This window comes from Homo sapiens, chromosome 5, assembly GCF_000001405.40.
Source record: "Homo sapiens chromosome 5, GRCh38.p14 Primary Assembly".
NCBI classification, from domain to species: Eukaryota; Metazoa; Chordata; class Mammalia; order Primates; family Hominidae; genus Homo; species Homo sapiens.
In genome coordinates this window covers 60,258,001-60,277,580 of record NC_000005.10, presented here as the reverse complement: position 1 = coordinate 60,277,580, position 19,580 = coordinate 60,258,001, and the positions used below count along the sequence as shown (strand labels likewise).

General features: G+C 37.7%; 1 protein-coding gene across 12 annotated transcripts in view; it reads left to right on the top strand.

The window, feature by feature from the left end:
- PDE4D (phosphodiesterase 4D) overlaps positions 1-19,580 on the top strand; it is a 1,553,091-nt gene that overhangs the window by 244,548 nt on the left and 1,288,963 nt on the right. The gene's annotated exons all lie outside the window — the stretch shown is intronic.

The following is a 19,580-nucleotide window of genomic DNA, read 5'->3' as shown; positions in this document are numbered from 1 at the left end:
TAATATTATGAACTCCAGCCCTCATGCTAGTACATTACATCTCTAGAATTCTTTATCCTATATAACTGCATTATGCTATGGTACACAGGATGGTTTCCTTGATTTCTTGTTTGGATAGATCATTATTGGTGTAAAGAAATGCAAATGCTGGTATGTTGGTTGTGTATTCTGCAGCCTTACTGAATTCATTTATTAATTCTAACAGATTTTTGTGGAATTTTGTATCATGTAATCTGCAACTAGGAATAATTTTACTTCTTCTTTTTTGATATGGATATATTTTTAAATCTGTTTCCTCTCTAGATGCTTTTGCTAGAACTTTCAGTATTATGTTGACTAGAAGTGGCGAGAGTGAGGATCCTTGTCTTGTACTGGCTTTTAGAGGAAAATCCGCTTTTCCCCATTGGATATGCTAATTTTCTTTTGTTTGACTGTAGTAATCATTTTATTATGTATATGTATATAAAATATTGTTTTATATACCTTAAATGTATACAATTAAAAAATAAAAATAAAGGCACATGATGTAAAGGAAAAAACAAACAGAAGAAACTTAAAGCAAAACAAAGCAAAAAACAAAGACTGGCATTATGGAATAAAAAATATGACCTAACTATATGCTGTCTAGAAGCAACTCACTTCAAATATAATGATATAGGCAAGTTCAAAATTAAAAAGATAAAAATGTATATCATATAAATATTAATCACAGAAAAGCAGAAATAGTTATACTATCTGATAAGGTAGACCTCAGAGCAAAAAAAAAATACTAGTGACAAAGAGGTACATTATAAAATGGTGTTAAAAGAAAAACTTTAGACAAATTAAATTTAACAAGTTTAATCAAGCTAAGAATGATTCGCAAATTAAACAACCCCCAGAACCAGAATAGATTCAGAGCAACTCTGGCACTGCTGTGTAGTCAGAGAGAATTTGTGGAAAGAAAAAAGAAAGTGATGTACAGAAAATAGAAATGGGATACTGAAACACCTGGATTGGTTACAGCTGGGTGTCTTATTTGAACAAGGTTTGAGTAGTTGGCTGTCTGTGAATGCTAAAGTATGGCTGCTGTGATTGGCTGAGACTCTGCTACTTACAAGAGTAGGTTGCTGTCTATTTACACACCCTGTTAGGTTACAGTTCACTATATACATATAAACCATCAGGCCTAACTTAAAATGTGTAAGGAGTCAGCTTTAGGCAAGTTTAATTAGGCATGGTAAAAGGGTCACTTCACCAAGAAAATTTAGCAATCTTAAATGCATATGCAGACAACAGAGCTGAAAATATCCAAGCAAAACCTGATGGAACTGAAAGGAGAAATAGACAAATCTTCAATTACAGTTAAGACTCCAGCCCTTCTTTCTCAACAATTGATAGAACAACTAGGCTATAAGTCATCCAGGATATAGAAAAACTCAGCACCATCAACCAACTGGATCTAATCAACACTTAGAGAACATTCCTTTCAATAACAGCAAAATACACATTTTCCCCAAGTGTCTATAGAATTTATAACAATACAGATGATTAGGCCATGTAAAGAACCTCAACCAATTTCAAAACAATTAAATCATACAGAGTGTTTGTTCTTTGACCACAGTGGAATCAAACCAGAAATCAATAAGAGAAAGATAATAGAAAAATCTGTAAACATTTAGAAACTAAACAACAACAGACTTCTAAAAATCCATGGATTAAAGAGAAACTCTCAAGGGAAATAAAAAAAAGTTAAGCTTAACAAAAGTACAAATGCACTATAAAATTTGTGGGACACAACTAAAGCCATGCCAAGAAAAAAATGTATAGTACCAAATACATACATTAAAAAAGAGAAAAAGACTCCATCAATAACCTAAACTTTTACCTCAAGAACCTAGAAAAAAGAAGGTAAAATTAAACCCAAAGCACACAGAAGAAAAGAATTGGTTTTGTAGGCTGACTGGGGAAAAATAATTTATACAACCTTGCTTCTGTTAAAAAAAAAAACATGAGTTCAAAAAACACATTGTGGCCTTCAAAATGCCAATACCCTATTAAATTACCAGAAATTAAAATTAATAAATTGATTGATGGTTACTGTAATGATTAAGATAATGGTTACTTGTGGTGACCTTTTTTCCAATCATAACCAAACATATCTCTGGAAATGAGTCACTAAGGATGATGCAGCATCTTTCTTTCTCTTTTGATTAATCAAAATTATATTAAATATATTTTATCTTATATTAAAGAACAGTTTAGTCATGAATTTAAGCTGGTGTTAGAGGATAGCTAAGTTGCTTCTCATAGTCATTTCCTTACTTATGTAATGAAGAGCAGAAAAATATTTTTACCAGTGGTTCTCAACCTTGGCTGGAAATCAGAATCACTTAGGGAGCTTAAAAATATACTGATGCCTGGGTCCCATCCAGCGAGATTCTGAATTGTTCTATGGCAGAAATTCTCAAAATACAGTATTAGCCTCTCAGCAGCAGCAGCAGCACTTGGAAACTTGTTAGAAATGCAAATTCACAAGCCCCATCCCTGATCTAGCAATCTCTGTTTTAACAACTCCTTCAAGTGATTCTGAGGCAGCAGGTCTCAAGCTTTAATGTGCATGCACATCTCCCAGGGAATCTTAGGAAAATACAGATTTTAATTTGTGGTCTGGATATTACACACTGTCACAGATGCTAATACTGCTGGTAGCAAAAATATAATTTGAATTACAAGGGTCCATAGGACATCTGGATATTTGCATTTTAAAAAATTTTCCAAGTGGGAATGCAGCCAAGGTGAAAACAACTGGTCTAGATAGCTTTATGGTACACTGCCAATAGCCCAAGCAATCTGAATGATCTCTGCTTGGTTTTCTGTACCTGAGGTTGTAGAGTCACTGAAGAGCACATACTTCTTGTTCTCTTTAAAGTGATAATCCGGCTGGACATGGTGGCTCATGCCTGTGATCCCAGCACTTTGGGAGGCTGAGGCGGGTGGATCACTTGAGGTCAGGAGTTCATGACCAGCCTGGCCAACATGGTGAAAACCTGTCTCTACTGAAAATACAAAAATTAGCTGGGCGTGGTGGCACATGCCGGTAATCTCAGCTACTTGGGAGGCTGAGGCAGGAGAATCGCTTGAACCCGGGAGGTGGAAATTGCAGTGAGTCGAGATTGCACCACTGCACTCTGCACTCCAGCCTGGGTAGCAGAGCAAGACTCCGTCTCAAAACAACAACAACAACAACAACAACAACAACGACAAGAACCAAACAAATAACAACAAAATAAAACCTAAAGTGATGATCACTGATTTTAAGTGGCTCCTTAGTTGCCTAAGAATCCCAGTTGTGATGGTTTTATCCCTTATTGTCTAGAACTAATGTTGAACACCCTGCTTTTTAACTTCATCTTGTTTTTCTCTACCCCCATCATCAATATTTGCCTGACTCACCATCTTTCAAGGTTTACCTCTTCATACTCAGCTAAAAATTAGCTGATGAGATGCACAAATAATTCCAGTGTATCAGGAGAGGATCAGCTTCCTCCCTTTTAAGGTAACATGGATCCTTTCACCATCTCCTGATGCCCTGAGACCAATGTCTTGAGAGCATCACATCTTGTTTCATGCATTCTGACTGGGCATGCTCATCTATTCCAGTGTTCCCAAGAAACACTCATGTATTGATCACTCCGTGGCCAGGCCAGATCTCTCTCTGGCTTGTCACTGAGTGGACATTTTTTTTTTGATTTCTCAAAGTCACCTCAAATTCAGTGTGCCCAGACTAGAACTCATCTTCCCTACCATGTCTGCGTCTCCTCCTGCATTCTCTGTTTCAGTGATAAGTAACTTGGGGGGCATTTTTGATTCTCCTTCCCTCTTTTCCACCCCAAATGGAACTTGTTGTTAGGATCTGTGGATTCTATCACTCTTGATTCCACCTACTTTTCACCATTTTGCCTCTACTTCTCTGGTGCAGGTCTTCACCATCTCTTGCTTAATTGCTGCTACAGTGTCCTAACTAATTTCCCTGCCTTTAGTCTGTCTGTCCATCTCTAATCCACTTTCCATATGGCAGTGAGAATGTTTATTCTTGCCACTTCTTAGATCTAAAACTCTTTAGTAGCTCTCCATTGCTCTCAGAATTGAGAGTCCTTATTATGACTTAAAAATTATTAATTATCTGGTGCTTGCTCACCTTCCAAGGATCTTCTTTTCACCTTGAACTGGATGCATTTTCCGTATGTACCATTTTCTCTGTAGGTTCTAAGCCTTTGAAGAGGTGATGCCTCTGCTTGGAGTGTCTTTCCATTCTCCCATTTGCCTAGTTCTTATTCTTTTTTTATTTGCTAAGACACTACCTCTGAATAGATGACTTCCTTGACCCTGCCTCTCTCAAGGGTGAGTTACATGCCCTCTTCTTATCCTTAGTGTTAAAATTACCACACTGACCTTCAGTTCCCTCTTTACTTGTTTATCTTCCTCAGTAGCTCCTTAAGAAGGGATTATCTTCTTCACTCTGCCCTTAGCATCAAGCCTGATGTCTCTATTATAGTCTGTGCTAAATAATTATTAATAAACAAAATACCCAGTTAGTGTAAGGAAAGGAACCTGCCATGGTAAATAAGTGTGAGAGAGGTTTTGAGGTAGTCGTATAACTGTTAGAAATACACAAATCACATTATAGATAGTGGCTTCTCTGTTTATCACAGTGCTCAGTTTCTTGTTCCAGGATATTTAGAAAAAGTATACCTAAAATAAGCGGAGAAGTCATTAGGTTGAATGACATATTCCCTTCTGCCGAGGTATTATAATATAATTTTTAAAGGGCCTCAGTTAACAATTAAATTCTTTATATCCTTGCAGCAGTTCTTTTTTTCTAGGTTTCATTTCCTTCCAGAACTAGATGAGGATTTTTGTCTAACTGATACAATTCCACGTTCTGAGTCCTTGCCTTCTCTCTCTTTCAGTTTCTGGGTTGTATGTGGTAGATTGCCCAGTCTATACCTAATCAGCACTAGGTTGGAGAAGAATAAACTGCCTTCATGTTGTGGAGCTGGCAGTCTTCTCTGTTGAGTGATAAACCAATGCCATTCTAAAAGATCTGCAGACCTGTGTGATCTCTTCTTCGAGGGAGCTGTAAGAACTAACTTTGATGGAAACACCAGTTTTAAAAGATTGCAGTTCATTTCCTACATGCATATTTGCCTAGGGAAATTTTGTAACATCAACTGAAGTTTACTAAATGAACAGCAAATGAATAAGTATACGGGTTGATGACAAACACTCCAGCCCAACATCTCTAGGGCCTTTGCCAATGTTTCACTAGAATTTTGGACCCTCAAGGTCATCTTAGTTTTACCATGTTCTCCTGATTTGTGTTGTATGGGGTCATCCTCTTTAGCAATCTGCAGAGCATAATTTTAATGCTGTCTCCCAGGTGGAGGGTTGATGATCCCTTTATAGACCACATTCTAGCACAAATTAATGTCACTGTTTCTTCTGTAGGAGGAGCCTGGCACACTGAATACCAGTGGAGTCTTGCTCTCTAGGCTTATCTTGGGAGCTAGTATGCTTATTCTTGTTTCTGTCCCTTTCCTTATGCACTGCCACAAAGGAATTGCTCTAGAATCCATTTCTTCTTCCTCATCTCCTCCGTTTCTTTGAATCTTATTTTGTAAAGTTCAAGCTTCATTTCCTGCAATTAGGGAATAGATCATGGTCTCTAGGTGCTTTGTCATTCTCAATACTGTGTGCCATTCTTTTGAATTACTTCATGTTCCTTTGGAGCAGAGGTTGTATCTTTTACTTTATATGGAAAAGTATGGCTTAGTGCAGCGTGTAACTCAGACTAAGGCAATTTAAATGCTGTATTTCATTTGAAATGACACATGGAGCTGTTTTTACCACATTTCTCACTGTCTTATCTGAAAACCAGATTAGCGCAGGGAAGTCTTGGAGCTATTAAAACCTTCTCCTCATATTTTCTCTGGCTTTCAGAATGACTATATAGGGCCTTTTCTTTGGTGGGGATTACACCTCACTGGCTCTCATGTAACCAGTCAATTTTCCTCTCACTTATTATGGGACTGTGAAAGAAAGAATTAGAAGGTGAAATTATAGGATTAATGTTAAAAGGAATTAGTTAGCTTCTTTGTTCCTTTAATTTCCAGTTACAAGAAAAGAATTAGATCAATTACATTTCTATGGGCTTGATCTCATGTAATAGTAGCTATTACCAACAAAAATATAACCAAATTGGACTTTTAAGAATGTTCACAGCAGCATTGTTTATAATGGCAAAACATTAGTATCAACACAGGTGTCCAACCACAGGAAAACAGTTAGATAAAATGTAATTAAATCCTTATGATAAAATGTGACCATTAAAGTTGCTGTTTTTGAAGAATTTTTAATGTGTGAAAATGTGAAAATGTGCTGATGGTATCATCAGCACCTAGTACCAGTGCCTGGCATGTGAAAACAGCTTCCAATAAATACATATGTAATAGCTTTATCATACCAGGAAAGGTGGCTATAGAAAATAATAGTAACCTCGTACTAAAATGAAGAGAACATCAACTTCCTCTCTGCTAGATGGCCACTATCTGCATCTTTTATTCTCTTGAGTATTCTGGAATCAGTAAAAATGGTGTTTTCAAAGAATCTTATCAGAAATTCAGCTACATCTTTGCTTGGCAATCTGAAGTTTTTGGAAAGAACGTATTTCAATAATAAAGAATGACATAGAAATTTTTACATGGTAAATATTTAAATAAAATATGACATTTTAAATTTAAGTCCAGGGTTACTGTTTCAGAGCTGAATTCAGACATCTGAATGATAAGCGGAGATTTCATTGAGAAAATCTCTACTTTATCATTCCTACTGGCTTTACTATGTCATGGAGAGCTCAAAATGTCATCACTGAATTAGTTTTCTAGCTGACTTCCTCCTGGTGGTGTTTTATATGTTAGTGACATTGATTTCTGGACTTTTCTTTTTCCCATAGGTCTTACCTCATTTATTTGAAATAGAATTGATTAAAATAACCTATAGAAATAAAAAGCAAAATAAAACAATAGAGATAAAGATGAAAAATGTGGTATAATTTTTAAAAATTACCATTCTAGGTATATAGTCATAATTATGAAATATTATTCTGGTCTGAATGATACAAACTGCTCAGCTTTTATGCTTTAGAAGATATCATTATTAATAACTAATTTATTAGATTTGAACATTCAAGAGCAAAGAGATGTTACACCAACGGGTTCCCTTGTCTCCTACTTTCTAGTTTATGTAACTGTAAATGAGTACCCTAGATTATCAGTTGCTTTTTGGGGATATGTTTTGTTATGATAAAAAGAAGCAGTTCGATCATGACATTTGCAGTTATCTTTCTTGCAGTGACCTTCTAGAAATGACTCTTCACCTTCCTATCTCTTTCCCTGTCTTGGTTCATGGTATACTCATTCTTTCAATTGTGAAAGTAGAAAGTCAGCTGACTCTTTGATTCTTCTGTCTCCCTCTGAACCACTGACTTATGGCAATTTCCCTTTAGCATGTGTTCCGTATCTGGACCTTCATGTTCAGTCTCACTGTCTCTCCCCTGGTTCAAGTTCTCAGATAAAAACCGTTTGCCTTTAGTCTTCCCAAGCCTTTAGTCTTCCCCATTTCAATTCATCTCCTGTACTATCATAAGATAAATATTGATTTTGCTCTTTTTGTTTCTGCTTCCAGCTTTATTAAGATGTAAATGACAAATAAATATTGTGTATACTGATGGTATAAACGTGATGTTGTAATACATGTATACATTGTGAAATGATTAAACCAAGCAAATCAATATATTCATCATCTTACATATGTATAACTTTTTTGTGGTAAGAACATTTGAGATCTACTCTTTTAGCAGTTTTTAAGTGTCCAATACATTTTATTAATTGCAGTCACCATGGTGTACAATAGATCCCTAGTTCTGGAGATTTTGCTATTTTCTTGCCCAAAAATTGTTAGTAGCTATTACCAACAAAAATATAACCAAATTGGTCTTTTAAGAATGTTCACAGCAGCATTGTTTATAATGGCAAAACATTAGTATCAACACAGGTGTCCAACCACAGGAAAACAGTTAGATAAAATGTAATTAAATCCCTATGATAAAATGTGACCATTAAAGTTGCTGTTTTTGAAGAATTTTTAATGTGTGAAAATGTGGAATGTAGCAGAGCCTAATACCATATAAATACAAAATACAAGAAACATTTATGTTGTTTTTTGTATTTTTTTGAGACAGAGTCTTGCTCTGTTGCCCAGGCTGGAGTGCAGTGGCACGATTTCGGCTCACTGCAACCTCTGCCTCCCGGGTTCAAGCGATTCTCCTACCTCGGCCTCCCGAGTAGCTGGGACTACAGGCATGTGCCACCACGCCCAGCTAATTTTTTAAAATATTTTTAGTAGAGATGGGTTTCACCATGTTGGCCAGGCTGGTCTTGAACTCCTGACTTCAGGTGATCCGCCCGCCTCGGCCTCCCAAAGTGCTGGAATTACAGGTGTGAGCCACCGCGCCCGGCCAAGAAATATTTATGTATATATGAATGTTAGCAGTGGTTATTTCTGAGTGGCTCAATAACAGCAGATTTTTCTTTTTGCCTACACTTTTCAATTTTTCTACAATAAATTGCATTGTTTTTATAATCAGAAAAACTTCCTCTAATGATTGGTATCTGTAAGAAAGCTTGTAAGTTATTTAGTTTAGTTGGTCTTAATATATTTTTGGATCATGGGCCTCTTTGAGGATCTGACAAATGACATGGAACTTCTCTCAGAAAAATGAACATCTGCCCATAGACACAAAATATGGCATAGAACTTCAGTAGGATTTTGGGCCTCAGATCAAAGAGCTTTTTGATAGTAAGCACAATGCTCTCATTTAAGAGATGATGGTGGACCCAGAGGATCTGCCTGCTCTCCCACAGGAGGCTGGGAGCAGAGGCAAAACTAATTCTTAGTACTTTAAGCTTTTGCCTTGAAACTAGGCTGTCCAGGAGACTTGAGATCACTTTGCAATGCCCTTCATTATGTGCTACTGAGGTACCTTCTGTAAGTTGCTAAGCCTGTGAGGTAGCCGTCCACACCCGAAGAGGGTCCTCCCTATGGTGGTTACTAATGTTATTCTTTGTAGTAGTGCCAAAGCTTTTCCTTTTGGTAAAGATAAGCTTTTATTGGAGAGACCTAGGGGAGTGGCTTCTAAGTCAGTGGTGGGTCCTAGAAGTAAGCAAATAAAATGTGCGCCTCCCATTACTGAATTTTGTATCTATTACTTTCTTAAACATTTCCTCTCAGATTTGATGATTTTGTTGTAAACAGGCATGATGAAGGCTTTTTTTCTTGAGAATGTTTGTTTTCTTCCATCATCTGGCAGTTTTCCTTATATGACCTTGACTATGGTGGTAACAGGAATGAGGCATCTGTCTGCTCTAGAATTTTTCATTGTGCTTGGTGCTGTAGCGGTTCTCTCTACCTGGTGCCTGCACAGCCTGCATGATTAGGGCTTGGAAAGGTCTCATTTCCTCTGGTTTTAAGTGATTTTGTTCTTTCATAGCCTTAAGTTAGCTAGTAAGTGAGGGAAAAGTACCACTACCAGCACCCCAGAGCCAGCCTTTGACTGGGAATGAACGTGGAAGAGTGCCCTTTCTTTGTCAGAAACTCCTACAGCGCCCTGATAAATCTTGCCACAGACAGCAGATTTTACAAATAAAGGAGAAGTGTTTTCTTTGGTGCAAAAAAGACAGCAAACACAGATCTGGAAACAGCTGTCTGATACTTTTTTTGCAAGTTGTTAAGCCCTCTACAGTCTAATCTCTGTGGAGAGCCCTGAATCAAAACAGAGGATTGAATCCCTGAATTGAGCAGAGGAATTGTGGAAAAGGTAAGGAAATGAACTTTTTTGATGCCTCCAAGTACCAGCACTGGCCAAGGTGCTTTCATAGATGTAATATTGAATCCTAGGAAAACCCTGTGAAGTAGGTGGTGGTGGTCTTATTTTTACAGGTGAGGAAACTGAAGCCCAAAGCGTATTTTGCTGAAGTATACAGTTAGAGACAAAACTGAGTATGTCTGCTTCCAGTCAAGCTCTTTCTCATCTATAACAAATAGGTTGTATGACAGCACATGGTTTTGAAGTGCTCTAATTATCTTTTATGTGTATGTGTTTCAAATATTTTTATTTATATACTATGATCTCATTAATAAAATTAGAAAATACAGAAAGATATAAACACACACACAACCCTCACATGAAACAGTTCTACTCCAACCACAGCCGCTTGTAGACCCTGATAGATAATAACTGGCCCTGATGAAGATTTCCTCTCCTCTCTCATCTCTTTGCTTATATGCTGTTGTATATTTTCCAATCCTTTCCTCCCAATCATATTTCTAATGTAAATGTAACGGAAACACACGGACAGTTTTACGTCCTTATTCTATATGTATTGGCGATAACTTTTTGCATAGCGCTTCATTCTGCACATAGTTTAGTGTTCCCCCACTGTCATCTTCATAAGATCTGCCTGATGAGAGGAAAAGCAGAAAGAGCACCATAGTCCCTGAACAATCTGGGCAGAAACACATGGGTTTGGGATAATACACGTGCACTTTTCTTCACTCCTCTACATCTGCTCAAGATGAAAATGGTTGGGACATTATCATTTTGTCCATAGCACAGGAGAACATAGTTAAGTCATTTGGTTGAGCCTGGAATGCAAGAGAAAATGTGTCTACTGACATTCTATTTCCACTTCACCGATAGCCCTGAGAAGACAGAAAGATGGGTATAACTTGGGTGTCTTCCTCCTGCTCTCTTAGAAATAAACTCTTGAAACTTATTGACTAGATTGTATATCCACCTAGAATTGGGCCAGAGTGAAGACTAATGCCTACAGTATGCACACCCATGTTTGGGTGCTGTCAGAGCTCAGGAAACAGAAGCCTGGAGATTGCCTAGTCTCCTGCCCTTTGCAGATTACCAGCAAGCATCCTCTCAGGCACAGACTGCCCAAGGGTGAAGCAGCAGCAGCCTGGAGAAGCTGCCAATGGTAATAGGATGCCAAGAAAGAAAAGTGAGCAAATTAGAAAGATGCCCACCAGCACTTATCTATTTGGAACCCAATCTTTTCTTTCTCTACAAAAATTTTAGATTGCCAGACTCTTGAACTTCAAGGTTTCCTTCTTTATAAAAATTATATTAAAAAAGTACTCTCATTCCACTATCTATGTCTCTCCAGAGCCTGCTTTCATGGGGCTTTCCAATATCCTGCTGTGGGGAAGCAAACTGTTTGCACTTCTTGCAAGAGATTTAACTTATTTAATCAGTTTCCCTCTCTCTCTTTCTCCCTTGCATTTACTGATGATAAGATTGTGTTCAGGGTAGAAATTTGGCTGCCTGTTTGAGTGACAACAGCGGACCCAGCCCTTGTAAATGTCTGCTCCTTCTTCCCGCTGCATCTAGTTTCCTGCCTTCTGCCAGGTCTCAGCAAGCCCTGTGAGGCAAAGCACCTTCTTCCTTCTACTGTGGACAGCTGCTTCTCCCAAGCTGTCTGCCATCTCAGGAGGGACCAACGCTCTTTGCAGTTCTGTAGCTTCTGTCCTGTTCTTGTGAACTTATGTTCACTAATGTAAATGGGGCTTTATGTCTTTATTGACTTTGTAGTGAATACAATTGTCAGAGAGGCTGCTTCAAAGAATCACCTTGCTCTCCTCTGCCCTGACTCGGGGCTCAGCTTGGCAGGAGGTGTGATGTCTCAGAGCAAGTACAGCATTTTTTGAAGGAGCAAGGTGTTAATGGCAGGTGACTCTGGCCCCTTTTATGTGCTTGAGCTGTTTTGCCAGGTACAGAGTGGGAGTGGAACAGAAAAAGGGTTTTTTCTAGTCTAGGGTCCCACCAGCTAAGGCCTCCTGATTGAGCCATCTGTAATCCCAGGGTGGACCTTGAGGCAGCCTATAAATCATTCTCTGCTCTGCCACTGTGTCAGGTTAAGGCTTGGAATTAAGGTTCCAAGAGAGGTAAAAGGTAAAACCAAGAGCTCATCAGACAGCCTGACCACAAATTTCCCTCTCCATTGTGCTCCTGTGGGTGAGGTCTCCTAGCCAAATGACTTTCCTTATCTTGAGGACCAGGCCCAGTATCTGCTTATCCCTGAGGAGTGGGTTTTGGTTCCCTCACAGCCTGTGGAATTATTCAAACAAGCCAGTCACATCCTCTTGTGGGGACCAGGGCTACCTTGCCCTTCTGTTACTTCAAAACCAGCCTCACATAGGCCCTGCCTGTTCACCTTTCCTGAGTGTGGCCCCTGTGTGGCCTGTGTGGGGTGCATTGTCCTCCCCTGGGCTGTGAGTAGATATGACTAGCGAACTGCTATTAATCTCCTCTGTTAAGGTTGAGTGTCATGTGGTTGGCCATCCCCATATTTCTAGGGTGGGAACTCCTCCCTCACCAATGGGGTAAAGAAGACACTGCATTCAGCTTTTCTAGCCTCCTAGCATGTATAACTATATTTCCACTTTTCAACCACTTGCCCTCTCTCGTGTAATACACTACAAAGAGAAGGAAACATGCCTGTAATTTTCATCATGATATCCTTGGTGTCCAGCACAGTGTTCCCTGGCACTTGATAAATATCTGTTGGATAAATGAATGAGTGAATTCCAAGGGTTCTTTCTGAGTAAAGATTCCACTAAATAGTTTCTCCTCTCACTTGCAAAATGTTGTCACTCCATAATCAGGGATGGAATGAGGGGTGTGAGCAGGGTGTGCACGTCACCTCTAACTTCTCCAGGTTCTTCCAACCTCAGAGGTGTCCCAAGCAAGCCAAAGAGAATAACAGATCCTTAGGATGTATCCCACACCCCCAGTTCAGTGCCATCTCAGTGTTAGATTGATGTACTTTTCTTGAGATAAACATTGACAGATGTCGCTGAATTTGGCAACCAACTGTACTTCACATCTTCTGAGACATTCTAGTCCACTTACCCAGTACATGTGAAAGGACTTTAGTGCCTCCCTCTTTTGTTCTCTGGGCTATCTTCTCCAATTCTGATTTGTTGATGTAGATGGCTGTTACCAGCAACAATGAGAGCGTGGGGCCTGGGGAGGCAGAGAGCTTTCATTCTAGTGTTTTTGTGATTGTTTTGGCTATAGCTAGGCCAAGGTACTGTCCTATTCTGTTTGTATTGCAGTCAAATTAATCAACAGGCATTTTTTTCTCAGCCATCTTCAAGTCGTGTCAGGAAAAATTTGGCCTACATGAGGTTTAGGAAACTATCTTTTATTTCCCTTTATTTTCATGAACATTTGAGCTTGAGGAGAATGTGAGCATTTTTCAGATCATTGGGTCTTATAGTTTCAGGCTTCATATTTTGTGCATTCCCACTTCTAAAGCTTTGTTTTCATATATTTGCCCATTCCTCCAATCTAAGTCTCACCATTTAAAAAGTTAAGTTCACATCTGGTTTCTGGGGAATTGTTGCCTCATTTATCTTTTTGTCTCCTTTTCAGAAATCCCTTTTAGTTTATTATTTATTTTATTATTTTTATTTTAGTTTATTATTTTTTCACATGTAGTGTCACTGGTATTTATTATTTTTAGTTTATTATTTTTTCACATGTAGTGATATTATTTTTATTTAGTTTATTATTTTTTCACATGTAGTGTCACTGGTATTAATTTTACTAATTTTTGCTTCTCAAAGCCAAGGACTTTGAGGAATTTTCTTTTCTTTCCAGGGTGCCTTATACAGTGCTCTGCTCATAATAGGTGTTTATTTTTCATAATAGGTTTTCATTGCTTGATTTTTTGATAGCAGGAACCAGGTAGGTATGCCTCTATAAGGGTGAATGTTGTTCATAGGAGACAAAATAACAAAACTGGTGTCAGTTTGTTTGAGCTTACATTAAACGGGTTCACAAGGCCTCCTGAGCTCTGTGTATTGAAGCAACAGAAACCATGAAGCATTTTATTGCAAGAGCAATCAGGCAACTTCCCAGATGTTGCTAAACTCTGCTTTAACTGTTGTGTAGAGCTAGTTTTAACTGCATCTCCCACTGCTACTGGAGACAATGATTCTAGAGATGTTACTAATTGTCACTTGTTCTTTGCCTAGATTTCTTCTCTGCTCCTTGTGGCGTCACCCAGCCGCTAGACGGGCAATGGATTAGAATTTACATGGAGGCTGTGGTCACGGTTGTCTCAGGTGTTAAGGAACAAAGAAAAAGAGGTGCAGAAAGAATAAATCAAATCATTATTTTAAAATGTCTTAGTTTCCAACCAGGCAATGGAATTTAAGGGAGATTCCCTGACGGTTACCCTAAGACATCTGCTTTGGAGCCCTTAGCAGAACTCTCTCTGTGGGATGATTGGTCCTAAGCCTCATTAACAGAGGCTTTGCGGCTCCATTGGAGGTTGGTGCAGCACAGGTGGGCGTTAGCACAGAGGTTTATAGGACCAAACCCACTTCAGCAACCAGCACTAATTGGCTCCCCAGGGAAGTCCCATGAGAAGCTGTCAATCGTGAAGACTGAGTTTTTGTTTATAATATGTAGTGATTTCTCCTTTGCTGCTCTTTTTCCTCCCCTATCCAAACTGCCTTTCCTTCTTGCACAAATAGGTGGTGGTTCCCAAAGTACAGATAATTAGAAAGTTGAGGCAAACCTTACTTTGATTCCAACTGCATTTTTCTCCACTCTCTATTCTCCCTAACCCTTCCCCTATCCCCACCCTTAGTGTGAAACAATACCCTGTCATATGGGAGGAACCCTCGCTGAGGTTGTGCTGACAAAGCTAGAAAGTAGTGTTGAAAAATAAATGTACATCATCAGTGCATTTTATGAAGTGATTTCTAGTTTCTGTAATGTGACTTCAATTATGCTGAAAATGGAGATCTTAGTCTCATCACGTACTTTTGTTAAATCATTGTATTTTAAGGTTAAGTCACAGGGCAGGAAACACCTTCTCTGCAGGATATTGGGTGTAAAATAAAGAGAGGCTTTCTGTGTCCTGGGAATGTTCTGCTAAGAAGACAGTGATGATAATAGTTACCACTGAATAAGTACTGACATGTGAGGAACTACCAGGATCCCTGCTTTACAGGAAGAAGCCGAGGCTCAGAAGTACACTTGTCTAAGGTCCCAGAACAAGTGTAAGTGTCAGGATTTGAACTTAAGTTTGCCTGATTCCAAAAGTTTCTGTTCTTAAAAGCTGTGTTTTGCTCATGTTTTGATTTATGTTTGCCCAAGGTCTTTTGGTCCAACTACAAAAATAATTTAAATTAGTTATCAGACCAAGCATTCTTTCCAGTGTTTGAGGGACGGGAGCAACTCAGGTGTAGTTGACTAACCATTCTACATTGGTGTTATTTCGTGGGGTCAATTTCAGGGCCGTAATTCAGTCATAGTTATTGCCAAATCCAGGTGATAGTAGGCTTTGTGGGTGGTGAGGGTAGATTAGAAGGACTTTAGCTTGCTTATAATCTCCCCTGTTCTTTCTTACGCTGAGGTAGAAGGTTGGTGAAGAGACTAGAAAGACTTGGGGGTAAGTTCTCAAGTATTACACAAACTGAAATTTGGTTCTGTCAACTGCCTAGTTATGGGACATGATTAGTGCCAACAGGTCACAGGGGGATTTCACTTCCTCTGGTCAATATGATGCAGGATACAGGGTTGGGGGATGTTCAAGGAAATAACAAACTGCAGAAACATCATTTTTATCTGTTTCATGCACACTTGTGGCCCAGGAGATTGGTAATTTCTTCTTTCTGATAATACTTAATTGAAGAGACTTTTATTTTTGACTAGTACTTACAGGAGGACTTAAGCCCGATCAATGCAAATTGATTTTTTTAAAAAATCATTAAAATTTAAACCTTGGGCATTATCTTTAGGTTGTAAGTGCTAAACTCAGCCCACCTCTTTCTTTCATTATGAGCAAAAGTAATCAAAGACCATCAGTGCTAATTAATTCAGATAAGCCAAAAACATACATATTCTTATTTTAAATGAAAGAAATGTTAGTGTTGTGATTGTTTTTATATTATTTTAATTAAAAGTTAAATGGAATAGAAAGGTACCAATTTAATTACATATTGAAATTCCTCTAAAGCCTTCTCAGAAGTACTTCCTTTTAGTTGCAGATTACAAAAAGAGATGTAGGGGGAAGATATAAGGGAGAAGGAGAATCAGTTCAAATTGTTTTCAGGTCTGATTTGGCGTAGGAAAATTGATTCTGAAAATCTAAGTTTGGAAAATTAACTAAAGCAACTCTTCTCAAACATAACCTGGTCAGTGATTACCATCCAAACATTCAAGGTTGTTTCTAATTTGATCAAGAAATGGTATGGAACAATGCACATGTAATCTAAACCATATTTTAGCTGTAATTTTTACCTTCTCCTATTGTATCCTATGTTCAATAAAATAAATATCTCTAGCAAAGAATTCAATATAATAATGTTTCCAGTCTTCCTTCATTTTTATGTCTTCCCATAGGGTAGACAAAATTCCAGTAAACAATAAAATGATCAAAATATGAGAAAAATAAGGAGAATGAGAGACAGTCTCTGGGTGGCATATAAACAGGATGGCCATCCTCTGACTCACAGGCTGTCTTGTAAGGTTGGCAATGACTTTGAAATTTTATCAAGTCTATCTCTTTTCCTTTTGGCAAGACTATTCTTATACCTTTCCCAGTAGATGTTAATCTATCCTGTTTTTAAATGAAACTTCTAGTACAGAAGACACATGGTCCCTTAGGAACTCATTGTGAAATTAGAGGGTTTTCAGAGAAGGACTCTGTTGTTTATTTTGATTGTTCATCTTCTCCATAGGGATGATCAACTTTATATAAACAGCGCTGCATCCATGTAAAGTCATTTTACATGGCACTTGAGCAGATTGACAGATATTTAGAGAACATGACCGCCTTAGGGAACAATTAGTTCAGTCCCTTAATTGTGACTGGTTGGTCTTCTCTCTTCCAGATTGAGATTATAAGTTTCTTTTATTATAAATTCATGTTGTGTTGTTGACTTATATTCACTTTAGACCTTCATATTTTTTGCCTACTCTTTGCATTGCTAGTATTCCCCTGCTCTGTGTTAAAATATGCTGGTTCTGTCAGTTAATATCCAAAATATGTGATTTTTTTAAAAAATAAAAAGTGTGACAGGGTCTATGATGTATAGGACATAGGATTAGCATGGATATGACTCAGTATCCTGGGCTCCAACCATGATTCTGTCACAGCTACTGGTATGACTTTGGGCGGGTAATTTACTGAGCTCAGAGGCCTCTGAGCCTCAGTTTATCACTATCAGATGTGTGGCCAGATTCAGAGCAGCTTTTTCCAATGGGTTTTCCATGGGATGTTAACAGATATAACATGAAAAATGGTCCCATTTAAAAATAGGTGGTGGTGGTTGGGAGGGGATGGGGAGGCAAAGATTAAATGAACCTAAATAGATTTCTTTGCTGAAGCATGTGAGTCTTTCACATATTTTGGCTTAAAAAAAAAAGAATTGTAAATCTTCAGATCTTTAAGAGGCGTTTCCTGAAAGTATACAACTATAGTTCCTTTTTTTTTCTCTTTTTAATGCTTTAGTGCCGCTAACCCTTGACCAGGCTCATCTGCAAAGCAGAAGTAGCCACTTTCCTTGGTGCCCATCCCAGAAATACAGTAAAACACCCAGGAGGTCACTCAGGGCTCTTGACTGTGGATGAGTTTATGCATTCCACGTGTACCTTTCTGCATCATGAACTCTTTGAGGGCAGGAGCCTTTCCTTATTTGCCTTGTGTAAAGAGGGTCTATTCCTGTGCTTATACCTGGAAGATGTGTAGAATGAGTCAAACTGTCCATAAGTGGAAGGCACTGCCTTGAAAGTTTTCAGCTTCCCTATCACAGAAAATGTTATTATAGAGTGAATTTTTGAAATGAGTGGAAACTGTAGTCAAGATGATATCTATGATCAGGAATCTGTGAGTTTCTAAGGTTATAAAGATAACATAAGAATAAAATTACTCATAGATAACCACAGGTAGGTTAAAAAAGGGCAGAGTACAGCTTTGCAGGTGGTTCTTACTGGCTTCTTTCTTTGGTCTCGATAAATTTGCCTATTACCTTGATTCTGTCTGATAATGTGAAATTATTAATTGGAGAAGTTTGTCCAGATTACCAATATATGAGGAATGGACAAAATGCCACGACATTTTCTTCATCGTTCACCTTGTACAATGCCACTGTGTACATACAAATTCAATTCATTAAATTTATGATGAGTTTGTTTTTCTACTTTGCTGTTCCATTACCTGTTGTATTTCTTATAAGCTTCTGGAAAGCATAAAATATGTCTTATATACATTTATTTCTCCATTGATACCTAGTGTTTTATAATTATAGGAAGAACTCAATAAATGTTGAAAAATAAAAAGATGACTATAGTGGCTCAGACATTTTTTCCAATTTAGCATCTGAAGATAGAGATAGTAAATATGATGAGCTTATATGTAGCAGAAATTAATGTTTTGAAAGTAGGGGAAAAAACCCTATCATTTCACTACCAAAGAATAGCCATTGTTAAGACTTCAGGTTATTTCTCTCTAGACATATTTCCTGCAAAGATAATTTTTATGTATAGTTGTAATCATATTGTATATATAATTTTGTGTCCTGATTTTTTTCATTTGAAACTATGTTATAGAAAGTGTTTATGATAGTTATATTTGCTCTTTTGTATATAGGAAATATTTTTACAATAAAATTTTTAAAATCATAGAAGTCTTAAGTAATATAGTTTTCACTAACAGAATTTTTAATTGTTTCTGCATGGTTTCCTTAAACATTTATTATTTTATTATTATGTTTCTTATGAGGTTTTGCCTTCATTATTTATTTATTTATATGCAAGAGCTGGAGTAGACATTTTTAAACAGGAATATTTTTATATTTTTCCTTTTGAATATTTTCAAAGCATCAAACACTTATTGGCAAACTGCTTTTCAAAAGTATGTGTCAATATTTGCTATATCAAACAATGTATGAACATTCCAAATTCATTGCAAGTTCACCAGCAAAGAACATTTTTTTTACTTTTTAAAATATTGACTGATTTTAATGGGAAAATGCTTTATTATTTTGTTTAATTTCTGAGGGTATTTTTTGGTCTTATTACTGAGGTCAAATCTTTTCTCATACTTGTCATTTTTGTTCTTTTGTGAATGGTCCATTTATGTCTTTCTATTTATTTTTCTTATTGAATTGTATGAATGCTTCATTCCATAAAACATGCTATTTCCTGCAGGGACTGTATATTCACACACCACTGCATTGCTGATGCCCAAGGATAGTGTATGAAACAGGGTAAAATCACCATCGGCAGGCAGCTGGAGTAGCTTGTTCTGTGGACTGTTTTGCAATGCAATAATGAGGAGGGAGCTGAGTTACTAAACAGTCCCCTCTTTCTGTTAGTTCATTATTGCAAAAGCAAGGCCTGGCGAGTGAGGTGTGTGTGGCAGGCTTCATTCTTCCCTTTGTCTCAACTATTA